This window comes from Homo sapiens, chromosome 4 (assembly GCF_000001405.40).
Source record: "Homo sapiens chromosome 4, GRCh38.p14 Primary Assembly".
In the NCBI taxonomy this organism is placed as follows: domain Eukaryota; kingdom Metazoa; phylum Chordata; class Mammalia; order Primates; family Hominidae; genus Homo; species Homo sapiens.
Window position 1 is genome coordinate 128,921,382 of NC_000004.12, and position 14,944 is coordinate 128,936,325.

General features: G+C 34.2%; 1 protein-coding gene across 7 annotated transcripts in view; it reads right to left on the bottom strand.

Annotated features, from left to right (window-relative positions):
* The window catches only part of SCLT1 (sodium channel and clathrin linker 1), a 220,299-nt gene that overhangs the window by 48,141 nt on the left and 157,214 nt on the right, over positions 1 to 14,944 (bottom strand). For 2 of the 7 annotated variants that reach the window (XM_047449592.1, XM_017007718.3), the window contains exon 19: positions 4,894 to 5,176. The exons of the other annotated variants lie outside the window; for them this stretch is intronic. In XM_047449592.1, the coding sequence (XP_047305548.1) occupies positions 5,044 to 5,176 (133 nt within the window). In that variant the 3' untranslated portion in view covers positions 4,894 to 5,043. Of the gene's footprint in view, positions 1 to 4,893; positions 5,177 to 14,944 lie in introns of those variants that run through there. 7 annotated transcript variants of the gene reach the window in all.

The window sequence follows — 14,944 nt, forward strand, 5'->3', positions numbered from 1 at the left end:
CCATGTTAATGAATGAAAAACTATACTACAAGGCCACAGCAACCAAAACAGCATGGTACTGGTAAAAAATAAGACACATAGACCAATGGAACAGAATAGACAGCCCAGAAATAAAGTCACACACCCACAATCATTTGATCTTTGACAAAGTAGACAAAAACAAGTAATGGGGAAAGAACTCCCTATTCAATAAATGGTGCTCAGATAACTGTCCATATGTGGAAGACTGAAGGTGGACCCCTAATATCATATACACAAATCTTCTTAAGGTTGATTAGAAAATTAAATGTAAAACCTAAAACTACAAAAACCCAGAAAGATAACCTAGGGAATACCATCTGGACATAGGCCCTGGCAAAGATTTTATGATGAAGACTCCAAGACCAATTGCAACAAAAATAAAAGTTGACATGTGGGACCTAATTAAACTAAACAGCTTCTGCAGAGCAAAAGAAAATATCAACAGAGTAAATAGACAATCTACAGAATGGGAGAGAATATTAGCAAACTGTGCATGCTATAAAAGTCTAATATCCAGAATCTACAATATAGTTAAACAAATTTATAAGAAAAAAACAAACAACCCCATTATAAAGTGGGCAAAGGACAAGAACAGACACTTTCAAAAGAAAACATACATGCGGCCAACAAGCATATGAAAAAATGCCCAACATCACTGATCATTAGAGAAATGCAAATCAAAACCACAATGAGATACTATCTCACCCACATCAGAATTGATATTATTAAAAAGTCAGAAAAATAACAGATGCTGGCAAGGTTGTGGAGAAAACGGAATGCCTATCCTCTGCTGGTGAAAATGGAAACTAGTTCAGCCACTGTGGAAAGCAGTTAGGAGATTTCTCAAAGAACTTAAAACAGAAGTATACCATTCAACCCAGCATTCCCATTATTAGGTATATGCCCCAAGGAATATAAATTGTTTTTACTACAAAGACGCATGCTTGTGTAGATTCACTGTGGCACTATTCACAAGAGCAAAATCATGAAATCAACTTAAATGCCCATCAATGGTAGACTGGATTAAAAAAATATGGTATATATACCCCAAGGAATACAAAGCAGCCATAAAAAAGAATGAGATTATGTCCTTTGCAGCAACACGGATGGAGTTGGAGGCCACAGTCCTAAGTGAACTAACGCAGGAACAGAAAAACAAATACTGCATGTTCTCACTTACAAGTGAGAGCTAAATATTGAGTATACATGGACACAAAGAAGGAAACAGCAGACACCTACTTGAGGATGGAGGGTGGGAGTAGGGAGATGATCAGAAAACTATCAAGTACTATGCTTATTGTCTGTGTAACAAAATAATAGGTATACCAAACCCTTGTGACATGCAACTTCCCTACACAACAAACCTGCTCATGTACCCATGAACCTAAAATAATAGTTAACAAACCAACCAACCAACCCCTTGAGAATATACAACAGCAAATTGAACATTAAAAAAGATAATTTGTAAAATAACAGATCAGAAGAGACTGTGTGACTGCAGCACAATGAAAAAAGATGAAAAATAAAGAGGGTGAGAGACAAATAAATGCAATATAACAGTTTAAAATACCTTTGATCAGAATCTTAGGAGGACAGGAGACAGTGAATCATGCAAAGGCAATATTTATTTTGGTTTTAAAATCAACCTCATTGGGATATAATTGTGGGAAATAAGGTGCAGCCATTTTGAGTGTAGAGTTTGGTGAGCTCTGACAAAAGCATACACTCATGTAACCACCGCTGCAATTAAGATACAGAATAAGCCACATGCGGTGGCTCATGTCTGTAATCCCAGCACTTTGGGAGGCCGAGGCAGGTGGATCACTTGAGGTCAGGAGTTTGAGACCAGCCTCGCCAATATGGTGAAACCCCGTCTCTACTAAAAATACAAGATTTAGCTGGGCGTGGTGGCACATGCCTGTATCCCAGCTACTTGGGAGGCTGTGGCAGAAGAATCGCTTGAACCCATGAGGCAGAGGTTGCAGTGAACCAAGATCGTGCCACTGCACTCCAGCCTGGGTGACAGAGTGAGACTCCATCTCAAAAAAAAAAAAAAAAAAAAAGATACAGAATAGGTCCATTGCCCTAAAAAGTTCCCTCTTCCCTTTTGTAGTCACTGCCCCACCCCTCAAATCCCAGTCCTAGGCATCCAAACTGTTTTATCATTATAAATTAGAATTGCCTTCTCTAGAATTTCACACATATGGGATCATACAGTATATAGTCTTCTATATCTGTTTTTTTTTCAATCTCCTTTTTGAGATTCATCCATGTTGTTGAGTGTATCAGTGGTTTGTTCCTTTTTATTTCTGAGTGTTTATCCATGCACCTGGTGATGTACATTTGGGTTCTCATTTTCAGCCATTATAAATATCTACAAACATTTGTGTACAGGTTTTTTGTGTCGATATATTTTGGTTTTATTTTTGGAAAGAGTCTTGGTCTGTTGCCCAGGCTGGAGTGCAGTGGCATGATCAGGGTTCACAGCTGCAAACTCCCAGGCTCAGGTGATCCTCCTACCTCAGCTTCCCAAGTATCTGGGACTTTAGGCATGCACTGCCATGCCTGGTTAATTTTATTATTTTTTATTTTGTAGAGACGAGGTCTCACTCTGTTGCCCAGGTTGGTCTATGTGTGGATGTGTTTTCATTTCTCTTGGGTAACATCTGTGAGTAAAACTGCATGTCTGCATGATGAGTATACATTTAACTTTGCAGTAAAATTGTCTATTATTACTGAGTTGTAAGATTAAAAAAAAATCAAGTACTTTGTCAGATATACTAATTGCAATTTTTTTCTCACAGTCTTTTTTCATTTTCTTAATGGTGGCTTTTGAAAAGCAGACATTTTAAAAATTTTATTTATTTTTATTTTTTATTATTTATTTATATTTGAGACAGAGTCTTGCTCTGTGGCACAGGCTGGAGTGCAGTAGCACAATCTTGGCTCACCACCTCCCAGGCTCAAGCAATTCTCGCTCTTCAGCTTCCTGAGTAGCTGGGATTACAAGTGTGGGCCACTATACCTGGCTAATTTTTTGTATTTTTAGTAGAGACGGGGGTTTCATCTTGTTAGCCAGAGTGGTTTTGAACTCCTAGCCTCAAGCTGATCTGCCCACCTTGACCTCTAAAAGTGTTGGGATTACAGGCATGAGCCACTGCCCCTGGCCAGAAGTTTTTAATTTAATATAGTCCACTTTATCAAATTTTTTGTACTTTATTATTGTGTCTTGGAAGAAATTTTTGCTTATCATAAGATTTTCTTTTAGATATTTTATTGTTTTCCTTTTTTATGCTTAGGTCTATGATTCATTTCAGGTTATTTTTGTGTATGGTGTGATGTAATGGCGTGGCACGTAAGCTCTGAAACGAACCTCAATGATCCCTACCTTATGAGGTCCTTATGAAGTCTCACCTATGTGGGCTCTACCCAGGGACTCACTTTTAATTGATAGAATATGGTTAACGTGATATGATGTCACTTTCAAGATTAGCTTAAACAAAGATCTTGACTTTTGTTTTACTTTCTCTCTTTCAACTTCCTTCCCTTTCTCCCTCACTCCTCTCTCCTCACTCTGAGGGAAGCAAGCTACCACATTTTAGACCCATAAAGAGACCAACAAGGCAAGGAACTGATGTCTCCTGCCAATGCCAGTTAAGACCCGAGGCCTGCCAACACCTACAGAGTGAGCTTGGGAGCAGATCCTTTCCTGGTCAAGCTCTGAGATAATGCAGCTTTAGTCAATGCGTTGATTGCAACTTTATGAGAAACCCTGAGTCAGAGGCATTCTGATTCAGACATGTCTAGATTCCTAATCCTCAAAAACTGTGAGAAAATAAATGTTCGCTGTTTTAAGTCACTAAATTTTGGAGCAATTTGTTATGCAGTAGTAGATAACTACACAAAGCGTTTTCATCAAGTTTGGAAAAAATTTGGCCGTTAGTTCTTTTTTTTTTTGGAGCTGGAGTCTCACTCTGTCATCCAGGCTGGAGTGCAGCGGCATGATCTTGGCTCACTGCAACCTCTGCCTCCTGCCTCAGCCTCCCAAGTAGCTGAGATTACAGGCATGTGCCACCACTCCTGGCTAATTTTTGTATTTTTAGCAGAGATGGGGTTTCACCATGTTGGCCAGGCTGGTCTCGAACTCCTGACCTCAAGTGATCCACTTGCCTTGGCCTCCCAAAGTGCTAGGATTACAGGCGTCAGCCACGGTGTCTGGCCCATTATTTCTTAAAACACTCCCACACTCCCATCCCTGCCCTCCTGGGACTACAGTTGTATGTATTTTATACTGCTTGATATTGTCCCTAAAGTCTCTGAGGCTCTCTGTGCATAATTTTTCTTTGGTCTTTTTTTCTCACTATGTTTCATTTTTGGATGGTTTCTTTCGCTCTCTTCAAGTTCTCTGATCTTTTCTTGTGCAGTGTATGATCTGCTGTTAATCCCATTTTGTGAGTTTTAAAATTCTCTAATATTTTTCATCCACAGGTTTCCATTGGTTCCTTTTTTGCATCTTCCACTTCTCTCCTTATCATCTTCATGTGTTCCTTTAAATCACTAAGAATATTTACAATGGCTGGTTTAAAGTTCTCATGTTTTAATAATTTTAATTAATTAATAAAAATTAAAAAAATAATAATTTTATCCCCTCTCATTTCTGGGTGTGTTTTGATGCACTAGTTTTTGTTTTTCTTTTTTTCTGGTTATGGGTACCATTTTCCTGCTTTTGTTTATCTATTTTGTTGGATTTGTTCTGGCAGGTAATTAAGTTACTTGAGGACCAGCTTGTTCATTTTGAAGCTTGTTTTTAGCTTTTTCAAGACAGATTTTCAATTCTTTTTACTCTAGGCTAGTTTAGTTTTAACAATAGGATAAAGTGATCCTGAAATCTTTATTGTATACTCTGGGTGTTCAACAAGGATGTTCCACTCTGGCCGACTGGAACTCTCATGTCTCTTATTACTGCATAAACTCTTGATGTTTTGTCAGTTCACAGCTCCCAAAGATGTTATCTTTAATGTTCTAGAAGAAAACACCTGTCAACTTGGAATTCCATACCCAGCAAAAATATCTTTCAAGAATAAACAAAAAGTAAATATATTTTATGAGCAGCAGTTGAGAATTCACCACCAGTAGATCTTTACCAAAGGAACTTCTGAAAGACATAATTCAGACATAAGGAAAGTAGTCCCAGATGGAATGTATGAGAATAGTATTGTTCATATATATTTATTACTTTATTCTACATTGCTTCTAGTATCTCATTCAGTAATATACAATAAATATATTACTGTTCATATATATTTATTACTTTGTTTTACATTTATTACTGTTCATATATAGTTTGTAACAGTAATATATTTTTTACTAAATGAATAGTAATTAACCTATCAACAATAATATATAAGCTGGGTAAGAGAAATTAATGGTGCTAATATGTTTCAAGGTTCTTGAGTTTTCTGGGAGGAGAATAAAAGCTTTGATTACCTTCAGACTTCCTAAGTATGTGTGGTATAACATGTAGGGTAGTTACCAAAAGAACATGAGTAATTAATTTCCAAATATTGGGGAAAAAAGTAGAATGATTAAAAAAAACCAAATGAATTAAAAAGATGAGAAAGAAAAAAAGGAATAAAGCAAAGATGTCAGAAGTAGAAAGTACTAAATAATACAATAAAAACAAATCCCAATATATTTTGAATTACACTAAATATCAGTGAATGAAATGGCCTGAAACTGAGCTATCTAGTGTTTCTAAATCTATGAAACAGAAACAATTAAGAAAAAAATAACTAAAATGACTGCATATGTTTAAGAACTTTAGAATTTATATGAAAATGTACTTATACATAACATGTAGATTAAAAAAGATAATAAATATTAGAAAATAATTTGAGGCCAATTACTCCTATAATCTCAGCATTTTGGGAGGCCAAGGCAGGAGGATCAGTTTCTTAAGTCCAGGAGTTCAAGACCAGACTGGGCAACATAATGAAACCGTGTCTCTACAAAAAACACAAAACTTAGCCAGCTGTGGTGGTGGACATCTGTGGTCCTAGCTACTTGGGAGGTTGAGGCAGGAAAACTGCTTGAACCTGGGAGGTGGAGGTTGCAGTGAGCCGAGATTGTGCCACTGCATATCAGCCTGTGTGAAAGAGTGAGACCCTGTCTCAGAAAAAAAAAAAGGAAAATAATTTGAACTAAATAATAGTACTATGTATATCAAAACGTATACTAAAGCTAAGACATAGGGAAAAATTTATAACATTGAAGAATGCATGCATTAGGTGAAAATTTGAGCCATGCTTCTATTTCAAGAAGTAAGAAAAAAGAACAGCAACATGAAAGAAAGGAGAGGGGTAACAAAGAGCAGAAAGTAATAAAATTATGTAATAAACACAAAATAGAAAAGATTAAAAATCAAAGGTTATTTATAAAGAGTAAAACAACTGAGAAACTCTGATAAGAGTGATAACAAAAAAAAGAGACAAGGTACAATAATATCAGGAATGCAAAAGGAAGTATTACAGATGCTGCAGACATTAAATGGACAATAATATGAAAAACATCCAAAAATACTAAAAATTTAGAAGAAATTGACATATATCTATAAAAATATAATTTACCAAAACTATGTCAATGAAGAAATATAAAATCTGAAGAATTCTATCACTGTTCAAGAAATTTTGATTGACTCAACGATAAAAAAACACTCCTACAAAAACCCAACAACAACAAAAACAACAACAAAATTCCAGGCCAAGAGATTTCACTGGAGAATTCTATCAAATATTCAAGGAATAAACACTTCCAATACTCCGTAAAATATACGAGATTACAGAAAAAGAAGGGCTACTCTCCAATTTGTTTTTGAGGCTAACATAACTGATATAACTTGAGAGTTCAAGAAAGGATTTCAGTCAATCTCTCTCATGAACATAGATAAAAATATATTAAATAAAATTCTAACAAATCAAATCCAGAAATATATATAAGGAGAATGCATTACAATCATGTTGGTTTTGTCACAGGAATGAAAATTTGGTACACTAGCAAAATCAATCCATAAAATTTATCCCATTAACAGATTACATAGAACAAATTCAAATAATCACCCCAAACAATGCAGCAAAAGCTTTTATAAAATTTAATATCTGTAGGCTTTGCATGCTGGCTCCCAGCACTTTGGGAGGCCGAGGCAGGTGGATCACCTGTGGTCAGGAGTTTGAGACCAGCCTGACTAACATGGTGAAACCCTATCTCTACTAAAAATACAAAAACTAACCAGGCGTGGTGGTGCATGCCTGTAATCCCAGCTACTTGGGAGGCTGAGGCAGGAGAATCACTTGAACCCAGGTGGCAGAGGTTGCAGTGAGCTGAGATCGCGCCACTGCACTCCAGCCCGGGAAACAAGAGCGAAACTCCGTCTCGCAAAAAAAAAAAAAATTAATATTTGTGATAAAAGCTCTTAGTAAAGTAATAGCAAAAGGAAACTTCCTGAATGTGATAGAGGTTATCACCAAACACAGAAAATATTATATGAAATGATGAAAATTGAAAGCTTTCCTTTTAAGATTGGGAACAAGAATAAGAATCCTGATTATCCCTACTCTGTGCATTGCATTGGAAGTCCTAGCTAGTGCAATAAGCAAGAAAGAGAAACAAAACATACAGTTATTTGAAAGAGATAAAACTGTTCTATTGATAGATGATATGACCAAAATCCAAAAGATTCTACAGCTTTTGTCCTAAGTAAGGTCACTGGTTAAAGAAAGTATCATCAGCAACAAATAGCTTTCACATTTCTGTGTATAAACAATGATGAGAAAATGAAATTAAAATAAATTTGACAAAGGTGTAAGATTTCTACAAGGAAATGAACTTTACTGAGACATTAAAGAAGACCTAAACAAATGGAGAGTTATTTCACGTCCATAGATTGAAAGACTTAATATTATAAAAATTTTAATTATGTTGCTTGTTCTAAATTTATTTATAGAGTCAACAGAATTCAAACTAAAATTCCATCAAATTTATTTAAGGAACTTGACATACAATTCTAATATGAATACAGAAATGCCAAGAACCAAGAATAGGTAAGATACTTTTACAAAAAAGAACAAGGTAAGAGAAATGGCTGTAATTAGGTATCAGGTCACTTTTCAAATCTTGTAGTTGTTTCAAAAGTGTCTTACAAAGGTATAATAAATAAGACAGTGTGGTATTGACACAAGGATAAGCAAACAAACCAAAAGAACATAAAAGAGATGTCAGAAACAGATCCACACACATATGAACACAAATTATGACAAAAGGGGCAGTGCAAAGTATAATAGCAAGGAAAAGAGAGACTTGTCATTAAATGTTTCAGGGATGAATGGCTACAACATGGGAAAAACAGAAGTTGACTTGCATCTATCCTGTGTTGTTGTCTTTGTCTATTCATGGTGTTATAACAAAATACCATAAACTGGATGGTTAAAAAGAGAAATCTATTTCTCACTGTTTTAGAGTTTGAGAAGTTCAAGATCAAGGAATTTACATGCAAAGATGAGGTGAAAGGACAATATAAGCAAGTATGTACACAAGTAAAATACACAGATTTGGTCTTACGGTGGTTATAAAATATGTCCAGAAATTCTTGGAGATTCATGTCTTCAGAAGGTAGGCCCTAAAACCCCTTACTGTTAATGTGGTCTGGATTTAGCAACTCACTTCTAATGAATAGAAAAATGTGACTTAGGAGACTAGGTCACAAAAAGCATTACGTCTTTTTGCTTTCTCTTGAATTATTTGCTCTGAGGGAAGACAGCTGCCAAGTCATGAGGATACCAAACTTCTCTGTGGAAAGGTCACAGGGCTAGGAAGTGAGGTATCTGGCCATAAATAGGAACTTAGGCCTTCTATCCACGGAGGTGTAAGCAATCTTGGAAGCAGATCCTCCAGCTCCCATTAAGTCTTCAGATGACATTTTGATTGCTACTTCATGAAAGACCTTGTGTCAGATTCACCCAGATAAGCCACTTCCAATTATTTCATGAGTAAACGCTTGACTCATTAAATTATAAAATAATAAATGTTTTCCTTAAGAACTAAATGTTGGGGTAATTTGTTACATAGAAATAGGTAACTAATGCAGTTCTAGAGTCACGGAAGTGGGAATGAAAAGATAGAAGGCGTTTCAAAAGAAGAATCAATAGGACTCGGTTACTGAAAGAAGATAAATACAAAGAATGAGTCAAAGATGGCTATAAGGTTTTATATCCAGGAGTTAGGGGAATAGTGGTATCAATGAAGAAAGACGGTTAAAGAAGAAATCAATTTGGAAAATGTAATATAAATTGAGTTTTGAAATGTAGAAATTAAGATAATAACAAGACATATGGTAAATGTTCTATCGACAGTTACAAAACGAGGGCAAATACCAGGTAAGATGTAAAGCTGCAGGAGGGTGCAGTGAAGAATTCAACAGATAATTAATAGTAAAGGAATGAATATCTTTAAAAAAAGAATTTGATAAGATCAGAAGGGCTTGTTTCTTTGAAGCTTGTGAGTACATAAAAATAGAAAGTAAAAGAAAAATTATTCAAACATCTGGATAAAATAAGCTTGGTAATAAAATGTAGAGAAGAAGAGGAAATGAGAAGGAGAAACTATTTTCACTTTAAATACAGGCATAGGCATCTAAAAGCCAATAAGGGAAGGAAGGACTGAGTGGTGGGGGGAGAGAGAGAGAAATAGAAACTAGGCAGAAGGTTTTTGGGGGGTTGGAAATTGTAATTTTTTTTTTCTCCAATGGGTAAAATTGAGAGCTTCAGAAAAAAGAGATTAGTAATTCAGCAGTAAAGCTAATAATAAAATTACTGAGCAGCAAAGAGCAAATCAGAATAATCTCTGTGGGAATAGTAATTCGACAGTATGACTAAAAAGGAACTGCCTTTTGTGTATTTCTTTCTTAGATTTCAGCATTCGACTATCTTTTATTGTCGAGATTTGTTGCCTCTTAGAAGCCAACAAATGCAGATATATTTCATTATATAAACATTTGCTATTACAGAATTTTATTTTATTTTATTTTGAGAGGGAGTCTCACTCTGTCGCCCAGGCTGGAGTGCAGTGGCACAATCTTGGCTCACTGCAAGCTCCACCTCCCGGGTTCACGCCATTCTCCCACCTCTGCCTCCCAAGTAGCTGGGACTATAGGCATCTGCCACCACGCCCGGCTAATTTTTTGTATTTTTAGTAGGGACAGGGTTTCACTGTGTTAGTCAGGATGGTCTCGATCTCTTGACCTCGTGATCAGCCCGCCTCGGCCTCCCAAAGTGTTGGGATTACAGGCGTGAGCCACCGCACCCGGCCTACAGAATTTTAATCAGAAATCATTAAAGATTCCATTTACGATTAATTTTTGGTTACAAATGTATGTTCCAGTAAATTGTTATTCACTGCTGAGCTTTGAATCCTGTCTTCTGTAGCTTATTTCTTACCTTCAACTCTCAAGCCAGATAATTATATTTATTCCTAAAATCTATTATATTTCTATCCCTTTTTTTTTTTTTAACAATTATAGCCCATCTGGTTTAATATCACTGGTATGTTGTCCATCTTCCTCTAAATTGATTCAAGTCCTTTTCTTTCTCATCTCTACTTTGTTTTAATCTTTAGCATTTGCCATATGTGGGAACACCCACATTTTGTTCCCATACCAGATCTCTGCCTCAGTTTATGCTTTTGAGGAGGAATAATTCATGACAATAATAGATTTGTCTGTAATTAAAAACAAAACTGAAACAAAATTTCCTTTCTAGAGTACCTACATTATAGGTTTTTTAAAAAGTATAAACCACAGAACATTTAAAATAAGATTTAGTAATAAAAATTGAATTTATAAGATATTCATGGCATGAATTAAAGTGTTTATTGGTTAAATATATTTAACCTTATATATTAAAATATACATGTATAAAACCTAAGTTAAAATCTAAAATATCTATAGTTTTTGAGATCATTCTTTGATTTTTTTCTAAAAAACATATTTCCTACCCAAAATAGGGAAGTACCTCAACACAATAAATGGTATATATGACAAATCCACAGCTAACATCATACTTAATGGTGAAAAATTAAAATTATTTCCTCTGAAGGTCAAAAACATGACAAGGATGCCCATTTTTGCCACTTCTATTCCATATGGTACTGAAAGTCCTACCCAGAGAAATTAGGCAAGACAAATAAAAGGCATCAAATTGGAAAGGAAGATGTTAAATTGTCCCTGTTTGCAAATGAAATGATCTAATATATATAAAACCCTAAAGACCTCATCAAAAAACTGCCATAAACAAATGCAGTAAAACTGTATGTTCAAAACACAAAATATCAGTAGCATTTTCCATACATTAACAGCAATCTATCTGAAAAAGAAATCAAGAAAACAATTCCATTTACAATAGCTACTAAAACAATAAAATACCTAGGAATAAATTCAACCAAGAAGGTGAAAAATCTCTATATTGAAAACTACCAAAAACTGATAAAAGAAATTTAAGAAGGCACAAATAATTGGAAAGATATCTTGTATTCATGAACTGAAGAAATTAATATTGTCACAATGTCGATACTATTCAAAGTGAGCTACAGATTGAATGTAATGCCTATCAAAATTCCAATGACATTTTTCACAGAAATGGAAAAGATGATCCAAAAATTTGTATGGAACCACAAGTGACCCCAGTTAGAACAATCTTGAGAAAGAAAAACAAAGTTGGAGGCTTCACACTAGGGCTATTATGGCACAAAAGACCAAATGGCATTTGATAACATACAGTGAACAAAGGAAAGGTAGAATAAACACTTGATTTTTCCTTTTATTCATTTTTTTCTTTTAGAATGAATTGAATCTACAGCATCTTCCAAAGGTGACCAAAGACTTTTTTTTCTTTACTTAAAACCATTTTGAAGTCATGAATTTAAAAAATATGTTTGATATGTTTCAATTTATTGCACATATTCTTTTTGATATCCAGATAGTCCCCACATGGGCCAGGGGGAGCTAACTTAAGTTGGTCCATGGGCCATTTTGATGTGACCCCAGTAATCTTGATACCTTCTCTTTGCTTTTTGTGATGACAAAGTATTTTCTAGGCTTATCTTGTACTCTCCTGTCCCAAATCTGTAATCAATCATTTTTCCAAAGAGTCCTAGTTTCTTTTAGGAGACCTCATTGCAACTGAATACTGGTCTTGTTTTTACTGTTTACTGAAAAGACTGAACTAGAGAATACACGTTCTTAACGAGTAAAATACATCTTGAGTTCATAAACTCTTATTTCCAATTCCAATTTAGAACTACAAGTTTATTCAATTTGAGTTTCTTCTCTTTTATGATGAAAAATTTGTTTCTTAAAGACTTTTATAATAACTCAACTGCCTTATCCTATAATTATAAGTTTCAGAACACCACCATGAATATTATTTCTAACAATATGACTACTAGAAACAGTTTATGATTTCTTGCATTTCCTTTAATCCTTAGGCTTTATCCCACACAGTCTAATTACTATGTTTAATATCACTTGAAATAATTCATCTATGTAGTTAAGCCATCAACTTCCTATATAATTAAGTTAATTTGTTTAATTTTACTTTTGATTTTTAGGTATTGCTTTTCAAATTTTGATTTAATTCAAAAAATAATTATATAAACATTTATATAGTTCCAAAATTAAGCTTATAAATCTACAAAACAAGGTTCATTCAAAGAAGTCTAGCCTTCATTCTGTCCCGCTCTCTCCTCTCAGAAATTACCTTTGAATTATTTTTTGGCTCACCTCTTCACTTTTAAAAACACAAATGTGTGTACATATGTTGGTTTATATACATACATGTATATAAACACACACAGGCACATGCACTCCTCACTCTTAGATAATAAGTAGAATACTATACATACTGTTATATTACTTTTTTTTAACTTAATATACTTCAGATATTGCTCCATGTGCTAGGATTCTAACTGGGATTACAGTGAATCTATAGGTATATTGGTGGGGGAGAATGAACATAATTATAATATTTAGCATTCTAATTAATAAACATGGTCTCTGCCTTTACTTAGACTTTCTTTAATTACTCTTAATATTATATATAGTTTTCAAACAAAAGTCTTACATATTGTTTGTTAGATTTGTTGCTAGGTATTTGATGTTTTTTGATGTAATTATAAATTATTTTTAAAGTTTTATTTTTGAAATGTTTGTTACTGGTATGAAGATTACAAACGGTTTTTCTATATTCACTTAATAATTTGTCTAACAATTATTTTGGGTTTTTTACATATTCAACCATGTTGTCTGTTAAGAGTGGCTGTTTTCTTTCTTTCGGTTTTGTCAACCTTTTATTTCTTTTTCTTGCCTTAGTGCACTGATTAGGACTCCAGTACAAAGATCAATAGAAATGGTAATAGTGAACTTCTTTGACATCTTGTCAGTCTTCAAAAGAATGTTATTGACATTATTTTTTGCCATTAAGAACAATGTCTGCTATAGAATAGATGCCTTTAGAAAATTAAGGAAATTCTATTCCTAGTTTTTTAAGGAATATTTTTGAAAAAATAACCATGAAGGAATATTAAATGTTATCAAATGCTTTTTCTATATCTATTGAAAAGACCTTATGATTTTTCTCTTTTAATAAGTTAATGTTGTAAATTATATTGATTTTCTAATGTTATACCAACTTTGCATCCCTGACATTGAGCCTAACTGGTAATGATTTTTTTTTGTTGTTAGTTCTTTAGTGCTCTTTGTAGATGCTTTGTATAATTCAACTTTTTTACTTGTGGTGGAGGGTTGGTTAGAATTGCCTAGTTCACCACTAACTCTTTCATTTTAAATATATGTCATTCCAACCTTCCACCAAAACTCCTTTTATTATGGTTAACAAAGTCACCACATGATATCAAATTAGAAGGTCCATTCTCAGTCCTTACCTTACTCAACCAATGAATAACAGATTTTTATAAAACATAATGGTTAAGAGCATAGTGTCTTTACCCAAACTGAATGTAAAACCTAGATCTGTGTATTCATTATCTATGTGATCTTATACAAGTTCCTTAACCTCCTTTGGCCTCAGTTTGGCTATCTGTAAAACATGATTAATAATGTTATACACTTTGTGGGGTTGCTGTAAAGATTAAGTACATGTAAGTTGCTTAGAAAAATGCACACATTAAGTGTTCAATAAATATCACCCATTATTGCTTATTCCTTTTCTGAATTTTTATTTTTGATTTTTACTATTTGTCTTTATTTCTATTTCTCTGGATATGCTTTCTCAGTCTCTCTCAGTGGAATAATTTTCCTAAACTTTACATTTTGGAACTCAGTCCTCACACAGTTTCCATCTCTCTATCCTCTTTTTCAACATGTTCTCATTCCATGACTTTAAAAATCATGTGTATGTTAATGATTCACAAGTTTATAGCTCTTATTGTAATCTCCTCCCTGAATATCAACTTACATACATAATTTACTAGTTGATATCCTGACTTAAATATCTTTTGGGCAGCTCATACTTAACACCCCAAAGCAAACTTCCCGTGATTATCTCCAACCCTTTATAACCTAGTTTAAGCCACCACCATTTTATACTTGGACTATCATAGTACTAGTTTCTTTCTCCCTTCTCTTACCCTTGCCTCTTTACAGTCTATTCTTTTTTTTTAATAGATTTTATTTTTTAGAGTAGTTTTAGGTTTACTATAGTAAATCATATGGTGATATAGTAGATCATTCAGTGATCACATTCATCTGTTGAACATTTAAGTCTGATCACATCACTTTGCTCAAAGCCCTCTGATCTCATTCCTATGTTGAAGCTCTTGAGCTTCCCATCTCATTCAACACAAAATCTCAAGTTCATCT